The sequence below is a fragment of the Homo sapiens genome, chromosome 2 (genome assembly GCF_000001405.40).
Source record: "Homo sapiens chromosome 2, GRCh38.p14 Primary Assembly".
Classification (NCBI taxonomy): domain Eukaryota; kingdom Metazoa; phylum Chordata; class Mammalia; order Primates; family Hominidae; genus Homo; species Homo sapiens.
The window spans coordinates 47,730,929-47,753,309 of NC_000002.12; the positions used below are offsets into that span (position 1 = coordinate 47,730,929).

The 22,381-nt window shown below is 43.2% G+C and overlaps 1 pseudogene, besides 2 other annotated features; it reads right to left on the reverse strand.

The window, feature by feature from the left end:
- RBISP5 (RBIS pseudogene 5) lies at positions 474–1,107 on the reverse strand (annotated as a pseudogene).
- Positions 17,218–17,371: a silencer, noted in NCBI's record as "fragment chr2:47975285-47975438 (GRCh37/hg19 assembly coordinates)". NCBI's record gives its function as "represses an EF-1alpha promoter that drives an FKBP-Casp9 reporter gene in an ReSE screen in HepG2 liver carcinoma cells {active_cell/tissue: HepG2}" and the evidence as "EXISTENCE:reporter gene assay evidence [ECO:0000049][PMID:32094911]".
- Positions 21,285–21,384: an enhancer, noted in NCBI's record as "active region_15740". NCBI's record gives its function as "activates an Ori minimal core promoter by ATAC-STARR-seq in GM12878 lymphoblastoid cells {active_cell/tissue: GM12878}" and the evidence as "EXISTENCE:reporter gene assay evidence [ECO:0000049][PMID:35858748]".

Sequence of the window (22,381 nt, forward strand, 5' to 3'; positions counted from 1 at the left end):
CCTCGGCCTCCCAAAGTACTGGGGTTACAGGCATGAGCCGCTGTGCCTGGCCTTTTTTTTTTTTTTTTTTTTTTGAGGCAGAGTCTCACTCTGTCACCCAAGCAGGAATGCAGTGGTGTGTTCTTGGGTCACTGCAGCCTCCGCCTCCCAGGTTCAAGTGGTTTTCATGTCTCAGCCTCCCAAGTAGCTGGGATTACAGGGGGTACCACCACTCTTGGCTAATTTTTGTATTTTTAGTAGAGACAGGGTTTCACCATGTTGGCCAGGCTTGGCCAGGCCAGGCTTGAGCTCAAACTCATGAGCTCAAGAAATCCACCCATCTTGGCCTCGCAAAATGCTGGGATTACAGGTGTGAGCCACCATGCCTGACCCAATATATATTTTATTGATTTATGTATGTATTTATTTTTTGTATAAAACATGTAATTTGTTGGTCTTTGTGTGGAATTAGATGCATCACCACTATACTACAACTGAGCCATTAATTTTGTAGCTTCACCAACATTAACTGGTTTGCTTTCATGACACTGCAGAGGAATCAATTCTTTCTGTAGATGTTCAAGAGAAAGGCCTTTTGAGAAATGTGCAAGTTCCTTTTGTACATTTACAAAAGCTTTATTTACTCTGTTAGCTTTTTCATCATTCATAATGTTTATCTTCTTAAGATTAGTGGTGGTCGGGCATGGTGGCTCACGCCTGTAATCCTAGCACTTTGGGAGGCCAAGGCAGGTGGGTCACCTGAGGTCAGGAGTTCAAGACCAGGCTGGCCAACCTGGTGAAATCCCATCTCTACTAAAAATACAAAAATTAGCCAGGCATTATGGCAGGTGCCTATAATCCCAGCTACAAAGAAGGCTGAGGCAGGAGAATCGCTTGAACCCGGGAGGCAGAGGTTGCGGTGAGCCAAGATTGCGCCATTGCACTCCATACACTCCAGCCTGGGTGACAAGAGTGAAACTCTGTCTCAAAAAAAACAAAAAAAAAAAAAAAAAAAAAAAACAAGATTAGTGGTAACTGGTTTTGCTTTGTTTTTAGCCCCAAAGTTTTTTTTCGCTGGCTATGTGAAATACATTCCTGGATTTCTGCCCTCTTAATTTGTTCTTGGCCCTTGTCAGGAATTTAATACTTGCATGCAGCTTCTTCAGCTCCAGTTGACACCATCTGTTTTTTGGGGTTTTGGTATTTTGTTTTGTTTTTTTCTGAGATGGAGTCTTGCTCTGTCACCCAGGCTGGAGTGCAGTGGCGCTATCTTGGCTCACTACAACCTCTGCCTCCCAGGTTCATGCAATTCTCCTGTCTCAGCCTCCCAAGTAGCTGGGATTACCGCCACACGCCACCACGCCTGGCTATTTTTTTGTATTTTTAGTAGAGATGGGGTTTCACCATGTTAGCCAGGATGGTCTCCATCTCCTGACCTTGTGATACGCCTGCGTCAGCCTCCAAAAGTGCTGGGATTACAGGCATGAGCCACCGCTCCCGGCCTGGCCCAATCTATATTTTAGAATCAGCATACCGACTCCATTTTTCTGTAAGGGACCACAGGCTTACAGGGGCTCCCTGATTAGAATCCACACCAGTGTTCACGATTTATCCAGAGGTAGTTCTAGTATAGGGTGAAGGAAATCAAAATATTTTACCCCAAAATATATTTCTTTGACATATTTTGAAATGGTTGCTTCAGGGCCAGCAAACAGACAGGTCCTTGCAAAGCTATTTTTTTCTGGGGAAAATTTGCATCTGTAGAGAATCTCTACTAATGCAGCCAGGCCTTCCTTTTCTACAAATTTTCCATATCTAAGAGAGATTAACTGAGTCTGACACCTTGAAAGGTCTGAAAAAAGACCTTCGCCATATGTTCATTGCGGCACTATTCACAATAGCAAAGACATGGAATCAACCCAAACGCCCATCAGTGACAGACTGGATAAAGAAAATGTGGTACATATACACCATGGAATACTATGCAACCACAAAAAAAACAAGATCATGTCCTTTGCAGGGACATAGATGGAGCTGGAAGCCATTATCCTCAGCAAATTCTTGCAGGAACTGAAAACCAAACACCATATGTTCTCACTTATAAGTGGGAGCTGAACAGTGAGAACACATGGACACAGGGAGGGGAACAACACACTCTGGGGTCTGTCAAGAGGTGGTGTTGGGGTAGGGAGAGCATTAGGAAAAATAGCTAATGCATGCTGAGCTGAGTAGCTATGTGATGGGTTGATCTGTGCAGCAAACCACGATGGCACACATTTACCTATGTAACAAACCTGCACATCCGGCACATGCATCCTGAAACTTAAAATAAAAATAAAAATTTAAATTAAAAAAAAAAAGGCTTTTACCATCTATCTTCTCTGAGGACTGCTACCTATGAGGCCTCATCTATATAACAAAGCCATCTTTGCAAGCCAGGCCTCTTTCTTTCTCCCTTTCACACCATGTCTTGCTACTAAACATGATTTACCAACGTAAACTGTTTGGGGCCATACTCTTAGCCTGCATTCTTTTTGTAACCTCAAGATGGTATATAAGTTTCTATATCTTATTGTTGGGTTGAGTCTTCATTCCAAAGGCTCCCATGTAAATACATTAAATAAATTTATATGTCTTTCCTTCTATTAATAAATTTGCCTCATGTCAGTAGTTTTTCAGTGAACTTTTAGGGGCCAATGGTCATGACCCCCACAAGGGTGATGGGCAAGTGCACGATTCTAGAACCGGACTGCTCAGTCTCAAATCCTAGCTCTAATTCTTACTAAAACTTGGGAAAGTTACCTGACATCCTTGTGCCTCAATTTCCTGTTCTGTAAAATGGAGAAAATGTAATACCTATTTCATAGGATCTTTGTGAGGACTGCAGTAACGCATGAAAAACAGAACAGAGCCTGGCATGTAGTAAGCCCTTGATAAGTGTCAACTATTATTTGCCTTATCTTTACCTATCTCAGTTTTTGTCCTTCTCTTCTTACCCCTGATAAGTCTGCAACTGTTAAATGGCTGATTTTTCTTTTGAAGACACTTCTTAGGCTTTTAAGTCATTTAATAGTCAGCTTACCACATTGCCATGGCCCTCCTGGAAGATCCATATACAGATGGCCTCCAACTTATGAGGGTTCAACTTACAGTTTTTAGACTTTATAATAATGTGAATTTGATATACATTCAGTAGAAACTGTACTTTTCCCAGGCTAGCCATATGTGGTATGATACTCTCTCAAGATCCTGGGTAGCAGCGATCACGAGGGTAAACAACTGGTACCCTACAGTGTACTGTGTTCCCAGTGTTTGGGGATATTGTGTTTTATGCTTTCACGTCTCATTATGTCTGCAAAATGCCCATTTGTGTCTCCTGCCTCTGGTGAGAAGAGGAAGGCAATTACCCTTGAGATGGAACTCAAGATCTTAATTCCTCAGCATGAAGGTGGTAAGGAAGTAATGGCCATCTCAGGCAAGTTAGGACTTTCACATTCCATAATTTCCACCTTCTTAAAGGAAAGAAGTGCATAAGTGATGTAGTGAAATGATCAGCCTTGGTTAAATCCACTGTCATCACAAAGAAAAGAGGTGAGCTGACTGATGATATGGAAAAATTACTTGTCATGTGAATGGAAGACCAGATACAGAAGCACATGCCACTTCGCCTTCTGATGATCCAGGCTAAGGCAAGAAGACTTTTCAATACTTTAAAAGAACGTGCTGATGATCCGTTGGATATGTAAAAGTTTATAGCAAGTCATGGGTAGTTCCAACACTTCAAAAGTTGTCATCATTTTCATAATGCAGAGGTCAGCAGTGAGGCCACAATTGCAGATACTAAATGTGCCAAAGCTTTTAAAGAAGAGCTGTGTAAGATAATTGTAAATAAGAAATACTTGTGAGAGCAAATATTTAATGCCAATGAAACAAGCTTATTCTGGAAGCGTATCCTAGAGCATCCATACATTCATCAAGAGTACAGGAAGATGCCAGGATTCAAGGCATTCAAAGACCTTATAATGCTGTTTTTGGGTGGAAATGTTGCATGGTTCAAATTCTCCACTTGGAGAACCCTAGAGCATTCAAGAATGTGAATAAGCATATACTTAGTTCCTTTTTATTACTGCCATAACAAGAAAGCCTGGATTACAAGCCTTGAAAACAAGTCAGCACTGTTTTCAGACTACTTTTTGAACTGTGTTACGCTATTGACAAGAGGATATTGTAGGCAAAACAGCATCTGATTCAAGATTCTTCTGATCTTAGACAATGTTCCAGGGTACCCACACCATATCATCAACACGCATCCTGATGTAAAGGTTGTGTATTGTCACTGAACACAATTACACTCATTCAGTCAAAGAACCAAGGTGCAATAGCTGCATTCAAAGCATACTATTTATGCCAAACGTTCACATAGGCTGTTGAAGCAGTGGAATCTGGCCAGACTCTCCAAGAGTTTTGGAAAGGTTTTAACATTCTAAATACTATCTGGAACATTGCTTCAGCTTGGGAAGAAGTCACACAGCAATGCATGAACGGCATTTGGAAGAAAGTTTAAAAGACATATGTTGAACACATTCAAAGGCTTTAACAAAAATTCTGCTGTTGATGAAATAGTAAGTAACAAGATATTAGTGCTTGGGAAACAGCTAGAATTAGACATCAATAAAGAGGATATTCATGAGCTTGTTGGCACTGAGGCTGAAGAGCTTTCTAATGAGGAACTGATCAAACTGGGGGAAGAAATAAGTGAAGAAGCTGAGGCAGAAGAAGAAGAAGTTATACCTGAGGCACCAAGAACATTCACAGCAAAGAAACTGGAGGAGGCGTTTGCTACTATCAGCAGTGGGGTATAAACCTTAGAAGAAATGGATATCACTGGATCCATTTTCCACACAATCTTTACTGAAGATTTGTAAGAACTGACAGGGAGTTACAACATGCTCTAGCTTGCTATACAGAAATACGTAATGAAAAGAAGAAACAAACTTTACAGTCAAAACTTAGTATCTTCCTGAAGAACAGGATGCCTGCTAAACCAACAATAAGTGTCCATGCCTCAGTGCCTTCTGCCAGCTATTCTCAACCCTCATCAGAAGAGAGAGAAATTTATCACCTTGTCACTGTAGCATCCCTATCATCCAGCAATTAATTTTAGTTCAATGCTTCAAACATTCTTCAAGCCCAATGTGCTTTCAGTTATGCACATTAATGGTGAGGACCCATACAAGGATTCTGTCTTTCACTTTCAGTACAGTGTTCATAAATTACATGAGCTAGGCCAGGTGCAGTGGCTCACACCTGTAATCTCAGCACTTTGAGAGGCCGTGGCGGGTGATCACTTGAGGCCAGGAGTTCGAGACTAGCCTGGCCAACATGGGGAAAACCTATCTCTACTAAAAATACAAAAATAAGCTGGGCATAATGGTGTGTTCCTGTAATCCCAGCTACTTGGGAGGCTGAGGCAGGAGAATCATTTGAACCTAGGAGGCAGAGGTTGCAGTGAATCGAGATCGCGCCACTGCACTCCAGCCTGGGCAACAGAGTGAGACTCCGTCTTAACAAAAAAATAAAAAATAAAAAATTACAGGAGATATTCACACTTTATTATAAAATAGGCTTTGCATTTCATGATATTGGCCAACTATAGGATAATATCTGAGCACAGTTAAGGCAAGCAGGCTAAGCTATGATGTTTGGTAGTTTAGGTGAATTAAATGCGTTTTTTACTTATGATGGATTTATCAGGACATAACTTCATTGTAAGTCAAGGAGCATCTCTATAGATTTTTTTTTCGCCTTAGTTATTCATTCTCAATAATTACATATTACAGAAAATCTGCTTTGTGAGTTATACAATTTGGCTGGTAGTGAAAGGTGACCAGCTGAGTTCTGATTACCGTGTCCCACACCACCACACTAAAGGCCAGGGTACATGTATGACCCCAGAATTGTCTGACAAGCAAGGCCTGTGCTTCTCCTCTTGGATTCATTCCATTCTTCCTCCATTCGCTTGGGATATCCCCAATGGAGGGGACTTGATCTGTCTGGTTTCATCAGGAAATCCTCAATATTGGAAACTCCTTCTTTCATAGGACCAGGAGTTGTCCAAGAGTAAGGTCTCAGTGCTTCAAATCCATCAGAGATTTCCCAGAGAGGTATTTCTATCTGTCCACTGGAATGGGATCATTGAAGAGTGGGGGCTATGTCTACTCCGAGGCTGAATACTTTTTTTCTAAATACTTTAATATTTTTACCACTGTCAACAGAAAACAATCAAGAGGCTCAGACTCTAATCTAAAGAGAGTTTATTCAAGCACAAAGTGTAAGGACTGCTGCCTGGGAAGCACAGATTCCAAAGAATGAAAGAAAGTCAGTGTTCTGAAGTGTAGAAGGTTGGAATTGTTTACATAGATAAAGTTTAGGGAAACTTAACAGAATTTCAACATCTTTCTGTTTTTGTTTTGTTTTGTTTAGAAACACCCTGTTGCCCAGGCTGGAGTGCAGTGATGCAATCATAGCTCACAATGGCCTCGAACTCCTGGGCTCAAGCCATCCTCCCGTGTCAGACTCCCAAGTAGCTGGGATTACAGGTATGCACCACCATGCTTGGCTTCAACATCTTTCTATATAAGGCTTAATGCGTAGTTACAATGATTCTATTAGCCAAGGGGGACTTTTCCTTTTGGGAAAGGTATTGTTAACATCCCACAGTGAAGATGTAAATCATGGGGTATTTTGCACCATCTGGTCTCAGTGATGTACAGGACAATGAAAGAGGCAGTAACTCTGCAACATTTTGTGATTTGTGATTGGAAGTGGAGAGGTCTAGTCTCTGATCTCTCCTAGTCATTTACAGAATAAGAACAATGAGGAAGAGAGTTAATCTATAATCTAAGAAACAGAATGGTAATCATGCTATGTGACTCAGTCTCCAGGGCTTATGGCAAAATAAATTTAGGTGGCCCTGAAACTTTATTTTCTTTTACACCATCATAGTTCTAAAATGGATTGCTTTTCCCTGACTTCTTTTTTTTTTTTTTTTGAAATGGAGTTTCACTCTTTCACCCAGGCTAGAGTGCAGTCGCGCGATCTTGATTCACTGCAACCTACATCCCCTGGGTTCAAGCAATTCTCCTGCCTCAGCCTCCTGAGTAGCTGGGATTATAGGTGCCCACCAACACACCCAGCTAATTTTTGTATTTTTAGTAGAGATGGGGTTTTGCCATGTTGGCCAGGCTGGTCTCAAACTCCTGACCTCAAGTGATCCACCCACGTCGGCCTCCCAAAGTGCTGGGATTACAGGCATAAGCCACCACGTCCAAACTTTCCTGCCTTCTTGAAAAGAATTCACTGAGTATCATTTAACCTTTCTTTGATAATTGAAAGCTATAGTCATACATACCAATGGCTGTAGGGTGATGTCGTGATTGGGGCCATGTAAAGCATGCAGGTTGTTTATGCTGAAGGCAACCAAAAATATGCCACCCCAAAATATACTTCTTTGGCATATTTTGAGATGGCTATTCTGAGGGGCTGCAAACACGAGAATAGTCCTGAAAAACTGTCTTTTGTGGGGGAGACTTGCATCTGTAGAGGAAATCAACGTTAGTGGAGTGAAGTAAACAGCAGATGCGAACAGGCTTTCTCTGAAGCCCCCTTATCCGAATTTAGGAAAGGCTGACTCACAGGAAAAGGAGAGCAAAGGTCTGGCAGACACCTTACCCCAGGCTGCCACCTATTTTTTCTGAGAGCTGCTACCTTTTGGGGTTTTATCTGCATAAAAAGACAGCCTTTCCCTGCCTTGCTTTCCTCCCTTCATTGTTCCATAACCCATGAGGCTACCTCCATCCCAAGAGTCCCCAAACCCCTATCATTTCTGTAATCTCTGAATGGTATTAAAACTTCAGCCATCTGACCCCTCCTTTGAGTCTCATACTGTGTGTATAGCTCCTATGATCATATGCACATTAAGTTTGTATACCTTTTTCTCCTATTGGTCTATCTTTTGTTATAGAGGTATCCCAGCTAAGAAGTTATTAGGATTGAGAAAATAAATTATATTTTTTCTCCCTTTCAATACCCTGCTGTAAGCTGAAAATAAATTTCTTTTTTCTTTTTTCTTTCTTTTTTTTTTTTTTTTAAGACGGAGTCTCGTTCTGTCACCCAGGCAAGAGCGCAATGGCACAATCTTGGCTCATTGCAACCTCCACATCCCAGGTTCAAGCGATTCTTGTGCCTTAGCTTCCTGAGTAGCTGGGATTACAGACATGCACCACCACGCCTGGCTAATTTTTGTATTTTTAGCAGAGACGAGGTTTCACCATGTTGGCTGGGCTGGTCTCAAACTCCTGACCTCAAGTGATCCACTGCCTTGGCCTCCCAAAATGCTGGGATTACAGGTGTGAACCACTGTGCCCGGCCTGACATATTTTTAAATGGCCTTGCAAAGCTGTCTCCTGTGGAGAAAATCTATATTCTGTAGAGAACCCCCTCTCCTTTGCAAGTTTTTTCCTGATCCAGGAAAGAATTAACTAAGAGTCTGGCACATCTTAAGGCCTCATAAAAGACATTTACTATCTATTCTACAAATAAGAACTTTGGTCTCCACAACCCGTTAGGCCAGGTTGCACTGTGTTAGCGCATTCTTGCATTGCTATAAAGAAATACCTGGCCAGGCACAGTGATTCATGCCTGTAATCCCAGCACTTTGGGAGGCCAAAGCAGGTGGATCACTTGAGGTCAGGAGTTCGAGACCAGCCTGGCCAACATGGTGAGACCCCGTCTCTATTAAAAATACAAAAGTTAGCTGGGCATGGTGGCAGGTGCCTGTAATCCCAGCTACTTGGGAGGCTGAAGCATGAGAATCACTTGAACCCAGGAGGTGGAGGTTGCAGTGAGCCGAGATTGTGCCACTGCACTCCAGCCTGGGCGACATGGCAAGACTCTGTCTCAAAAAATAAATAAATAAATAAATAAATAAATAAATAAATACCTGAGACTGGGTAATTTTTATATATATAAAAAAGAGGTTTAATTTGCTCATGGTTCTGTAGGCTGTACAAGCATGGCACCAACATCTGCTGAGCTTCTAGGGAGGCCTTGGGGAGCTTTTACTCATGACAGAAGGCAAAGCAGGAGCAGGCATGTCACATGGCAAGAGAGGGAGCAAGAGCCGGGGGGAGGGGCGTGATGCCATACACTTTTAAACAACCAGGTCTCATGAGAAGTCACTCACTATCGTGAAGACAGCACCAAGCCATGAGGGATCCACCCCCAAGACCCAAATGCCTCCCACCAGGCCCGACTTCCAACATTGGTGATTATATCTCAACCTGAGATTTTGGGGGACAAATATCCAAACTATTTCAACCCCTTATCTTAACCCAGACACTCCTTTCTATTGATTGCAGGTCTTTAAATAATAACCCTTTCAACCAATTGCCAATCAGAAAATCTCTGAATTTATCTATGACTTGTGAGCCACAGGTTCATGCTCTACCACCTTTCTGAATCAAACCAATGCATAACTTACATGCATTGATTGATATCTTATGTCTCCCTGAAACATATAAAACCAAGTTATAATCCAATCATCATGGGCACATGTTCTCAGAACCTCTTGAGACTGTGCCTTGGGCCTTGGTCACTCATGTTTGGCTCAGAATAAACCTCTTTAAATATTTTACAGAGTTTGACTCTCTTTGTCGACACTGCCCTAATGTCTTGAAGGAAACCAAAATATTCCAGTCCAAAATACACTTCTTTGGCATATTTCCTTTTTTTTTTTTTTTTTTGAGGTGGAGTTTCACTCTTGTTGCCCAGGCTGGAGTGCAATGGTGCCATCCCGGCTCACTGCAACCTCCGCCTCCTGGGTTCAAGCGATTCTCCTGCCTCAGCCTCCTGAGTAGCTGGGATTACAGGTGCCCACCGCCACGCCCAGCTGAATTTTTTCATTTTTAGTAGAGAGGGGGTTTCACCAGGTTGGCCAGGCTGGTCTCGAACTCCTGACCTCAGGTGATCCGCCTGCCTCGGCCTCCCAAAGTACTGGGATTACAGGCGTAAGCACCGCACCTGGCCCTCTTTGGCATATTTCAAGATGGCTATTCAGAAGGGCGGAAATACACAAAGAGCTTAAAAGCCATCTCCTTATGAGAAAGATTTGCATCTGCAGCAAGAATCTGCATTGATGCCACCAGGCTGTTTCTGAAGCCCTCCCCTATCTGGATCTGGGCAAGATTAGAAAGTCTGACACCTTAAAAGTCTGAAAGAAACATCTACCTTCTATTCTTTCTGAGGGCTGCTACCTGTAAGGTTTCATCTGCATAACATGTTCTCCCTATCCCAGAACGTGTTTTGCCACAATCCAAGGTGGCATTCCTTCTGTAACCTCAAGATGGTACACAAGCTTCTGAACCCCATGAAAGGGTGGGAGTAATCACTCTGTGGTTCTCCTTGTGCACATTAATAAATCTGTACGTCATTTCTTCTGAGAAAAGAAAAACAGCTGACAGAAGTCTGAGCTGTGTGAGATATGCAGGTCCAGAGAGACACGAGTATGGGACTTCAGTCACACCTCACCACATGCATCCATGTCTGAGGGCAATTGCTTAAAGTCATTTTGTTCCTGATTAGCTGCCTCATCCATTATCTTCATGTCCCTGGACAAAGAACAATGGATAGCCAATCAATAGCTTATGTTATTTAAATGTAAATTCTTGGTAAAGAATTTAGGAACTGCCTCTTCTTTTCCTTTAAAAATCAACTCGTATCTGTTGCTAATCAGAGGGCAACTTGAATCTATGCTCCCAGGTTGGAGTCCTCAAGCTTGGCCCAAATAAACTCTACTTACATTATGTTGGCCTCAGCTTCTTCCTTTTAGGTTGACTAATCTGGTGAAATTGGCAGGATTCAAAGTAACTCCCCTCAACCACCCTGTGTTTCTCTCTGAAAGTGATACTGGGTACCAGCATGAACATTCCCTCCAGTGTCCCATCTGATGTTTTGGGTGAGTTCTCCTGAATTAGAACCTCCCACTCTTTGATTGAAGGTCCAAACGTTGTTTGAACTATTTTTCAAACCCTCTCTGTCCTGGGGAGAGCTTCGGGCTTTGCCTTTGAACAGGACCTTTGAGTAAAAAGCTCTTCAGGGAACTACCTTTTTTCTCCCTCTGCCTTGGGATCAGGGGTTCTGGTCAAAGTTTTTCTACCCCTGTGACACAGCAGAATTTTTGATCAAAAGATTGACAGTTAGGTACTGGTGGTTTCATTTTGTTGGGGCTCAGAAACCAATACCCCAAAAGATAGCATTTTGACAGATTGAAATTGAGAAGCCTCAAGGTCTCTCTGACCTCTCCCTCCCACCACTGTCTCCCCTGTAGAGGCTGAAGTTCCTTTATCTGCTTAAGATCCAGACCCACCAAGGAGAACGATTGTTTTTTGCTTCCCCTCCCTGTTTTCTCATTATCTATTGCAGAAAATAAGACCAAGGCGTAAACACACCTGAACAGACCCGTTTTAATGACAGTTTCCAAGGATCATTTAAATTTCAAAGCGAACTATTTACAAGTTCATCTCTGTTGCCAGATCCATTCATTCTCCCTAATAATCCCCTCAACAGAATTCTTCTTCTCCCCACCTCCATAACCTGTTTTGCCAGGATCGAAGTCCCCATTCTTTCTGTAACCTCAAGATGGCATATAACCTTCCATTTGTGGAGAGTTCTTAGCATGAGAGAGAGAGAGAAAAATAAGATGGTATCTGAGCTTCTGTACTCATTAGGAGGTTGGGTCTTCATGCTGAAGGCTCCTGTGTATACACGTCAAACAAATCTGTATGGCTTTTCTCCTATTAATCAATCTGCCTTATGTCAGTGATTTTTCAGCAAACCTTTAGGGGACCAAGGGCTTTGGCCCCCATAGTTTCATAGAGCATGCTTTTAAGATTGCAGCTCAGCCAGGCACGGTGCCTCACATCTGAAATCCCAGCACTTTGGGAGGCCAAAGTGGGAGGATTGCTTAATCCCAGGAGTTCGGGGCTGCAGTGAGCTGTGATCACGCCACTATGCTCCAACCTGGCCAACAGAGCACGACCTTGTCTCAAAAAAAAGAAAAAAAAAAAAGGTGGCTGCTGTTTTCCATCACTTGAAAATGTGGACTTAGCCTTTCATTTGTGACCAGTTCCTGTTAGTTCCTAACTGAAACGTGTACCCCCTTTTTGCTCTTCTGGACACGTATAACACGTCTGGTTTCCCATGCCTTGATCACTGTGCTGCCACATGGTAGTTAGAGACAGTGTGAGACATGTCACACTTTGACCTTAAACACATTCCCCCATTGGCCACTTTTGAAAAGTTCTTAAATTATGGGAAATCAGCTTCAAAATCTAAGCACTCTTTTTAGAAATACCAGCTGGATTTACGTATAACCCTTACAGGTGTCTTCTTGTAAATATCTAGGAAAAGTGGGCTCGCTTAACCTGGGACACTCAAAAGCAGCAGAAGCCAAAGTAGGGATCTTCTGAAATGTCTGAAATAATTCAGCTGGGTGCCATGGCTCACACTTGTAATATCGGCATTTTGGGAGGCCGAGGTGAGAGGACCACTTGAGCCCAGGAATTTGAGACCATCCTGGGCAACATAGTGAGACCTTTTCTCTACAAAAAATAAAAAAATAAGTGGGAGGATCACTTGAGCCCCACAGGTCGAGGCTGCAATAAGCCGTGATCACACCACTGCACTCCCGCCTGGGTTGACAGAGTGAGACCTTTCCTCAAAAAATAATAATAATAACAATAATTCATTTGCATTCACAACTAGAAAAAAAGCTGGTTTTAAAACCAGACACACTGAATGGGAGACCTAATTTATGTTTTTCCTGGCTGAAATCTGATAATAAGAGATTCAAAAAGATTCTTTTTGAGAGTTCTATGGGAAGAAGTCATCTTCACTAAAAGTTGATATTTAGTACTGGGAGCAGTGGTTCACTGCTACAATCCCAACACTTGGCGAAGAATTGATAGCGGCAGGAGGCAGGCCAATGTCTAGGCAGATGGAGGTGGGGTCCCCTGTGAAACCCCATCTTCAATCCAAAGAGTTTAAAGCCTGAAAGCCAAGCTACAAGTCAAGTCTACAGACTGGGTTGGGAATCTCTCTTCCCATTTGGTGCACTTTCCTCTGTTTGATCCTCACCGTTCACCTATTTTACATATCCTACCCTTCCCTAATTGTTTTTTTTACACTGTCTTCCCCACCTTTGAGTGGTGTCTTTCTTTTGGGTCTTTTGCATACTCACAAACCAGTCACCACACACAAACCACACACCACACACAAACCACACACCACACACAAGAACCTGGGACCCACCAAACAGTAGGGGATGAAAGGAGCTGTAAGCTGTAGCCCTCCCATCCTTTGCCAGTGCCAGGCAGCTGCCCCACATGATGGGAAGCGGCTTGCAGAGCCAAGCCAGCTGGGAGCCATGGGCTGGAGTGGGGTGGTGGGAAGAAATAAGCAGAGGCCCTGACAGCCACAGAAGTTTCCAGCTGGCAAAGTGAGGCTGAGAAAAATCCTGCATCAGAAAGAATGAGGCAGGAGGATTACTTGAGGCCAGGAGTTCAAGACCAGCCTAGGCAACATAGCAAACCCCGTCTCTACAAAAAATGTTAAAAAAAAAAAAAATATATATATATATATATATATATATATATATATATATATATATATATATATATATATATATATAGTCAGGCATGGTGGCACAGACCTGTAGTCCTAGCTACCCAGGGGGCTGTGTTAGGAGGATCGTTGAGCCCAGGAGTTCAAGGTTTCAATGAGCTGGAGATCGTTGAGCCCAGGAGTTCAAGGTTTCAATGAGCTGGATTATGCCACTGCTTTCAGTCTGGGTGACAGAGCAAGACCTTGTCTCAAAAAAAAAAAAAAAAAAAAAAAAAAAGCTGATATTTAGGCTATAATTTTTTTGAGAATAAAATATTTCTTCTTTTTCCTTTTTTGGATTCTGTTTCTGGGATTTTTCTCAGTCAGCTAAAGCCCCTTTTTAAATGTGTTTGATCCCACTGTTTGCTTCCTATCTTATTGGCATGATTTTTGCTGAGAAAAATGTAAAACTTCATTGGCCTTTTTGAAAGCGGAAAATCTTCCCAAATTGGCTCCTCTAAGACTTGTTCTTCTATTTTCTTCCACATCTGCTTCTCCTTCCTTTTGTCATTTTCAATACCACATGAAGCTTAGAAGAGACTTCTAATGACCCTGAGACCCCTTGAAGAACACAGAACACAGCACCACTCACCTGCTTTTTGGAGTTTCTGTTTTCCTTATGGAGTCTGAAGTGTTGTGGGCAATTTCTTTCAGGTCTAAAGCTCTATTCCTTTTTGCATTGTATCGCCTAATCTCTTTGGTTTTAGTGGGTTCCATGAGTTGCTTTGTGCTGTGAGCGGGAACCTGACGTTTGTGTGTGCACTGGTTGACAAGTCACTGGTGAAGGCTGCAGTTTTGGAAATGGCTGACAGGGGATACAATGAATGGTTGCTACTGCAGGCAGGGCACACTTTTCTTTGTGCATTTAGATGAGAAAGGCATCATTTGAACACTTCAAAGGTGTAAGACTGCTCATCATTGAGGGATAAGACTCCCATGGGGGATAGGCTAGAATGGGTTTATTGGGTCACCCACCGCATGGCTGGTCTCATGGCATTTCCAACTTTTGGGGACCCAGGATGCAGTAAAAATGGGACCCTTGATTTTTAAAAATTTCGATGCCCTGCCTTCCAGTTGTGCCTGCTTTTCACATTTAAATATTTGACCCTGAAGACTACAAATGCTTCCCTTGCCCTATTCACTAAAGGGTTCCACCCTAAAGTCAGTAATCTAATTAAGCAGAAACAAGCTAAATTGAAAAGACCACCTATCTAACTAGATTGGTATTTAAAATAAGACCTGTGGCATTTAGCTGGCTATTTTGTAACACTTTGTAAAATAAATATCTGTAAAGGAAATCTCAATTTTTAAGAGCATCGTCCTACACTCAAGCCACAAGAAAACTTTTATAATGGGAAAGATATTGCTTAAAGTTTACACAACAGGCTGGGCATGGTGGCTCACGCCTGTAATTCCAGCATTTTGGGAGGCCAAAGTGGCCAGATCACTAGAGGTCAGGAGTTTGGGACCAACCTGGCCAACATGGTGAAACCTCATCTCCACTAAAAATTAGCCAGGTGTGGTAGCCTGTAATTGCAGCTCCTCTGCAGGCTGACGCAGGAAAATCATGTGAACCCAGGAGACGGAGGTTGCAGTGAGCGGAGATTGTGCCACTGCATTCCAGCCTGGGTGACAGAGCAAAACTCCATCTCAAAAAAAAAAAAAAAAAAAAAAAAAAAGAAGACTTTTCCAAAAGGAACACCTGTAAGTCCAAGAGAGCCATGTTAGGCTTATCTGGTATGTTAAAAGTGTACAGGAAACACTGTCAAGTAAGAAATATTTGTATAACTATGTTATTGATATGTTAATATACTTTGGATCAGTGTCCCCAACAAATCTCATGTTAAATTGTAATCCCCAGTATTGGAGATGGAGCCTGGTGGGAGGTGATTTGATCATGGGGGCGGAGTTCTCATGAATGGGTTAGCACCATCCCGTTGGAACTATTCCTGTGATAGTGAGTGAGTTATCATCAGATCTGGTTGTTAAAAGTTTGTAGCAACCCCCACCCTTCCTACTCCAGCCATGCAAGATGTGCCTGCTTCCCCTTCACCTTCCACCATGATTGTAAGTTTCCTGAGGCCTCTGAAGAAGCAGAAGTTGCTATGCTTCCTGCACAGCCTGCAGAACCATGAGCCAATTAAACCTCTTTTCTTTATAAATTACCTAGTCTCAGGTATTTCTTTATAGCCCATAATGGACTAATTGGTACTGAGGAGTAGGTCATTGCTATAAAGACACCTGAAAATGCAGAAGCAGCTTTGGAACTGGGTAACAAACAGGGGTTGGAACAGTTTTGAGGGCTCAGAAGAAGACAGGAAGATGAGGGAAAATTTGGAACTTCCTAGAGACTTGTTAAATTGTTGTGACCAAAATGCTTATAGTGATATGGACAATGAAGTCCAGGCTTAGGAGGTCTCAGATGGAAATGAGGAACTTTTTGGTAACTGGAGCAAAGGTCACTTTTGTTATGCCTTAGCAAAGAACTTGGAGGCATTGTGCCCCTGCCCTAGGGATCTATGGAACTTTGAACTTGAGAATGATGACTTAGGGTATCTGGTGAAAAAAATTTATAAGCAGCAAAGTGTTCAAGAGGTAGCCTGGCTGCTTCTAACCACTGATTCCCATATGCATGAGTAAAGAAATGATGTAAACCTGAAACTTATATTGAAAAGGGAAGCAGGATGGGCACAGTGGCTCATGCGTGTAATCCTAGAATTTTGGGAGGCCAAGGCAGACAGATCACTTGAGCCCAGGAGTTCAAGACTAGCCTGGGCAACATGGACAAACCCTGTCTCTATAAAATAAATAAATAAATAAGTAGCCAGGTGTGGTGGCACACGCCTATAGTCTCTGCCACTCAGAAGGCTGAGCCCAGGAGGTCAAGGCTGTGCAAGGCAATGATTGTGCCACTGCACTCTAGCCTGAGTGACAGAGACCCTGTCTCAAAACTAAATAAATAAAAAGTAAAAGGGAAGCAAAGCATAAAAGCTTGAAAAATTTGGAGCCTGGCCATGTGGTAGAAAAGAAAAGCCCACTGGCCAGGTGTGGTGGCTCACGCCTGTAATCCCAGCACTTTGGGAGGCCAAGGCAGGGAGATCATGAGGTCAGGAGTTCGAGACCAGCCTGGCCAACATGATGAAACCCCGTCTCTACTAAAAATACAAAAATTAGCTGGGTGTGGTGGCACATGCCTATAATCCCAGCTCCTCAAGAGGCTGAGGCAGGAGAATCATTTGAACCGAGGAGGTGAAGATTGCAGTGAGCCAAGGTCGTGCCATTGCACTCCAGCCTGGGTGACAGTGAGAGACTCCAACTCAAAAAAAAAGAAAAGAAAAGAAAAGGAAAGAAAAGCCCACCTTCGGGGAGCAATTAAAGCCAGCTGCATAAATTTTGCGTAACTAAAAAGAAGGTAAATGCTAATAGTGAAGACAATGGGGAAAGGGCCTTGAAGACATTTCACAGACATTCACCACAGCCCTTTTCATCAGAGGTCTGGAGACTTAGAAGGGAAGAATGGTTTCCTGGGCCAGGCCCAGGGCCCCATCACTCTGCACAGCCTCAGGACACAGCTCCCTGCATCCCAACCACTCCAGTTCCAGCCTTGGCTCAAAAGGTCCCAGGTACAGCGTGGGTTACTACTTCAGAGAGTGCAAGCCAGAAGCCTTGGTGGTTTCCACAGAGTGTTAAGCATCCAGGTGTGCAGAGTGCAAGAGCTGAGGCTTGGGAGCCTCTGCCTAGATTTCAGAGGATGTATGGAAAAGACTGGATGTCCACTCAGAAGCCTGCCACAGGGGTGGAGCCCTCATGGAGAACCACTTCTGGGGCAGTGCGGTGGGGAAATATGGGGGTTAGAGCTCCCTCACAGAGCCCCCATTGGGCACTTCCCTGTAGAGCTGTGAGAAGAGGACCAATATCCTCCAGACCCCAGAATGGTAGATCCACTGACAGCTTGCACCCTGCACTTGGAAAAGCTGCAGGCACTCAACATCAGCCCTTGAGAGCAGCCCTGGAAAGCCACAGAAGCAGGACTGCCCAAGGCTTTGGAATACCACCCCTTGCAACAGTATGCCCTGAATGTGCGACATGGAGTCAACAGAGATTATTTTGGAGCTTTAAGATTTAATGACCACCCTGCTGGATTTCAAACTTGCATGAGGCCTGTAGCCCCTTTCTTTTGACCCATTTCTCCCTTTTGGAATGGGAGCATTTATCCAATGCCTGTACCCTCATGGTATCTTGGAAGTAACTAACTTGTTTTTGATTTTATAGGCTCATAGGCAGAAGGGACTTGTCTTGTCTCAGATGAGATTTTAGACTTTGGTCTTTTGACCTAATGCTGGAATAAGTTAAGACTTTGGGGGACTGTTGGGATTACAGGTGCACACCACCACTCCCAGCTAATTTTTTTTTTTTTTTGTATTTTTAGTAGAGATGAAGTTTCACCATGTTGGCCAGGCTGGTCTTTAACTCCTGACCTCAAGTGATCCACCCGCCTCTGCCTCCCAAAGTGCTGGGATTACAGGCGTGAGCCACCATGCCCAGCCATGAACACAAGTTTCTGATAACTTTGGAGATCATATCATTGGATTAAGTTAAAACTTTCAGAATTCTAATAAACTGATGCATCATTCATGAATATTGCTAACCCAACATCAAGCAGAACAGGAATCAATTATATGGAACTGATCTGATAAAGGGATAAAATGGCTTTTATGACTTTTTATTTGAAACACTGCTGATTGCTTTTATATTTTGTTCTGCAGAATCAATAAAACTTTTGTCTTTTGAGTAATTTATAGCTTATAGACATAGAGTAAAAGATACATTTATTAGCAAAATGGAAACATTTACCTGTCTCTCTCTACCTGATTTCTCCAAAGTTTAAAAATTATTCATGAGTATTCTTATTTTATGGCAATCTAGTTATTAGCATAAGTTTAATAAGAATCTATTCTTCTTGTAAAAAAAAAAAAGAATCTGTTCTTCTTGTAACAAAGCACAGTTGGAGACACTGGTTGTTTTATTAAGGGTTTGACTGAAATATCACATTTTCAGATATGACCAGACAGCTTTAAGGAACTAGGATTGACATTAGGAAGCCAATAAACACCCTTGGAAAAACTGGCCCCATACTTTAAATTTACAGTTCACATGGTTGCCTTGAAGTAAATAAAGAATGTCACTTTCTTTTTCTGATTATTATTTTTTTGAAACAGGATCTCATTCTATCACCCAGGCTGGAGTGCAGTGGCACTCCATCATAGCTCACTGCAGCTTTGAACTCCTAGGCTCAAGCGATCCTCCCATCTTAACCTCCCAAGTACCTGGGACTACAGGCATGCACCACCATGCCCAACTAATTAAAAAAAAAATTTTTTTTTGTAGAGAAGAGGTCTCACTATGTTGCTCAGGCTGGTCTTGAACTCCTAGGCTGAAGCAATCCACGCACATTGGCCTCCCAAAATCTTGGGATTACAGGCATGAGCCACCACACCTGGCCAAGAATGTCACTTTCTGAGAGGCTCAGGAACCTCAGGATATTATGGACACCTGGAGAAAAGAGGAAATCACCCAATTTGTACATATATTACAGGTTCAGTCTAATGGTGAATCCTTGGCTTGGCTTCAAAGTCTTGAAGCTTTTAAAAGTCTAATTTGAAATTCCTTATGAAAGTTCTAGCAGGCTGGGTGCAATGGCTCATGCTTGTAATTGCAGCATTTTGGGAGGTCAAGGCAGGAGGAATGCTTGAGCTCAGAAGTTCAAGATCAGCCTGGGAAACATGGTAAAACCCTGTCTCTACAAAAAATACAAAAATTAGCTGGGCATGTTGGTGCATGCCTGTAATCTCAGCTACTCAGAAGGTTGAGGTGATAGGATCGCCTGAGCTCGGGAGGTTGAGGCTAGAGTGAGCTGAGATCATGCCACTGCACTCCAGCCTTGGCAACACGGTGAGACCCTATCGTAAGGTAAAAAAAGGTAAGGTAAGGTAAGGTAAGGTAAGTTAGTTCCAGCAAAGCCAACTTAAAAGAGCCTGTATGGCCATTACTATTCTTGTTGTACCTTATCAGGCAACATATAATACTAAAACTTGCTTTTGAGGCAGAGTCTTGCTCTGTCACCCAGGCTGCAGTGCAGTGGCACGATCTCGGCTCACTGCAACCTCTGCCTCCTGGGTTCAAGTGATTCTCGTGCTTCAACCTCCCAAGGAGCTGGGACTACAGGTGCACGTCACCACATCCAGCTAATTTTCGTATCTTTAGCAGAGACAGGGTTTTGCCATGTTGGCCAGGCTGGTTTTGAACTCCTGACCTCAGATGATCTGCCCACCTTGGCCTCCCAAAATGCTGAAATTACAGGCATGAGCCACAGAACCTGGTCTGAGACAACTGTTTAAAGTCATTTTGTTCCTGACTAGCTGCCCTATCCATTATCTTCATGTTCCTGGACAAAGAACAATGGATAGCCAAACAATAGCTTATGTTATTTTAATGTAAATTCTTGGTAAAGAATTTAGGACCTGCCTCTTCTTTTCCTTTAGAAACATACTTGTAACTGTTGCTAATCAGAGTGTATATTCAAGGCAACTTGAATATATGTTCCCAGGTTTCAATCCTTAAGCTTGGCTCAATTAAACTCTCTATTTATATTAATTTTGCCTTGGAGCCTGGCAGGGTGGCTCATGCCTGTAATCCCAGCACTTTGGGAGGCCACGATGTGGGGCATCACCTGAGATCAGGAGTTTGAGACCAGCCTGGCCAACATGGTGAAACCCCATCTCTACTAAAAATACAAAAATTAGCTGGGCGTGGTGGCAGCTGCCTGTAATCCCAGCTACTCTGGAAGCTGAGGCAGGAGAATCACTTGATCCTGGGAGGTGGAGGTTACAGTGAGCCAAGATCTTGCCATTGCACTCCAGCCTGGGTGACAGAGTGAGAATTTGCCTCAAAATAAACAAACAGTGAACTCCGCCTCAAAATAAACAAACAAAAATAATAATTTTGCCTCAGGTTCCTCTTTTTAGGTTGACATATCTGTTAATCTACCTTTTGTGAGTTGACTTGTCAGAAGGGGACGGGGAAGTTTTTTTTGGCCCACATGTGGCGAATGTGTTACTGGTGGGTCAGCAGCAACCTCAATTCCTGCCTCCTCAGAAGAAAGAATTTGAGTGAGGGGCGTAAGGCAGGTTTATGAGCAGGAGTGAAGGCAAGTTTTAGAGCAGGAGTGAAAGTTTGTTTAAAAAGCTTTAGAGGAGGAATGAAAGGAAGTCAAGTCCACTTAGAAGAGGCCCAAGCGGGTGACTTGAGAGATCAGTGTGCAGTTTGACCTTATGGCTAGGGGTTTTATACATTGGCACACTTCCAGGGTCTCGTTAATTCTCCCTGTTTCTCGTTGGGGTGGGCCGTCTGCATGTACATGCCTGAGGCCACTTGCCCAACTCCTGAGATCTTATCAGGAAGCTGCCGATCACCTGTTTCGGTGTTTTCTATCTATTAGGAGACTGTGCTTCCCTGGCGCTGGCTGTGACCAATTATTATTTTAGAGAGACAGGTTGACAACTGCCTGACCATCACGATGGTCACCTGATATTTTTGGTGTGTGGGCTCTGCTTAGGCCCGACCAGCTCCCTGCTGTAACACACATAGTCTAATGGACTTTCCTGCAGATTAAGTGCATGTGCTTCCTCCTTGGGCCCTGCTGATGCTACCAGTTTCAGGGCCCATCTCTTTGGTTCTCTAAGGTAAAAAATGAACCTGGAAATTAGCAATGTTTCACTATTAACAGCGCTAACAATGAGAAAGAAAAGAGACAGGAGCCAGCCTGGCACCCAGAGCCAGGCTGTAGTGTTCTGCTGTTGAACACTGATGCTCAGGGAACATCAACAGAAGACAAGGCCCCTTTGAGAGTGACAAAGAACAAAACTGTTCATTCCGTCATCATTTCACAACACAGACCAAACAAGAACATTGCCCAAACCACAAAAATGAACAAAAGTCCCTGTTTCTGTCTCATAGGAGTGAGTGGTGCTTCTTTTTCAATTACAGCTTTAGCCTCAGTTTGTTCTTCTAGATAAGAAATATTAAGATTCCAGCTGAGCCGGGCACGGTGACTCACGCCTGTAATCCCAGCACTTTGGGAGGCCGAGGTGGGTGGATCACCTGAGGCTGGGAGTTCCAGACCAGCCTGACCAACATGGAGAAATCCCATCTCTACTAAAAATACAAAATTAGCCGGGTGTGGTGGCTCATGCCTGTAATCCCAGCTACTCGGGAGCCTGAGGCAGGAGAATCGGTTGAACCCGGGAGGCGGAGTTTGCAGTGAGCCGAGATTGCGCCATTGCACTCCAGCCTGGGCAACAAAAGTGAAACTCCAACTCAAAAAAAAAAAAAAAAAAAAAAAGAAAAAAGAAAAAGATTCCAGCTGAGCACAGTGACTCATGCCTGTAGTCTCAGCTACTTGGGAGGCCGTGGTGGGAGGATCACTTGAGCCTGGCAGGTAGAGGCTGCAGTGAGCTGTGACAGCCTGAGTGACAGAGTAAGACTCTGTCTCTTAAAAATAAAAAAAAATTATTAAAAAATAAATAAATATTAATTCTCAATAGAGCCAGGTAATGGTTTACACCTGTAATCCCAGCTACTGGGAAGACTGGGGTGGGAGGATTGCTAGAGACCAGGAGTTCAA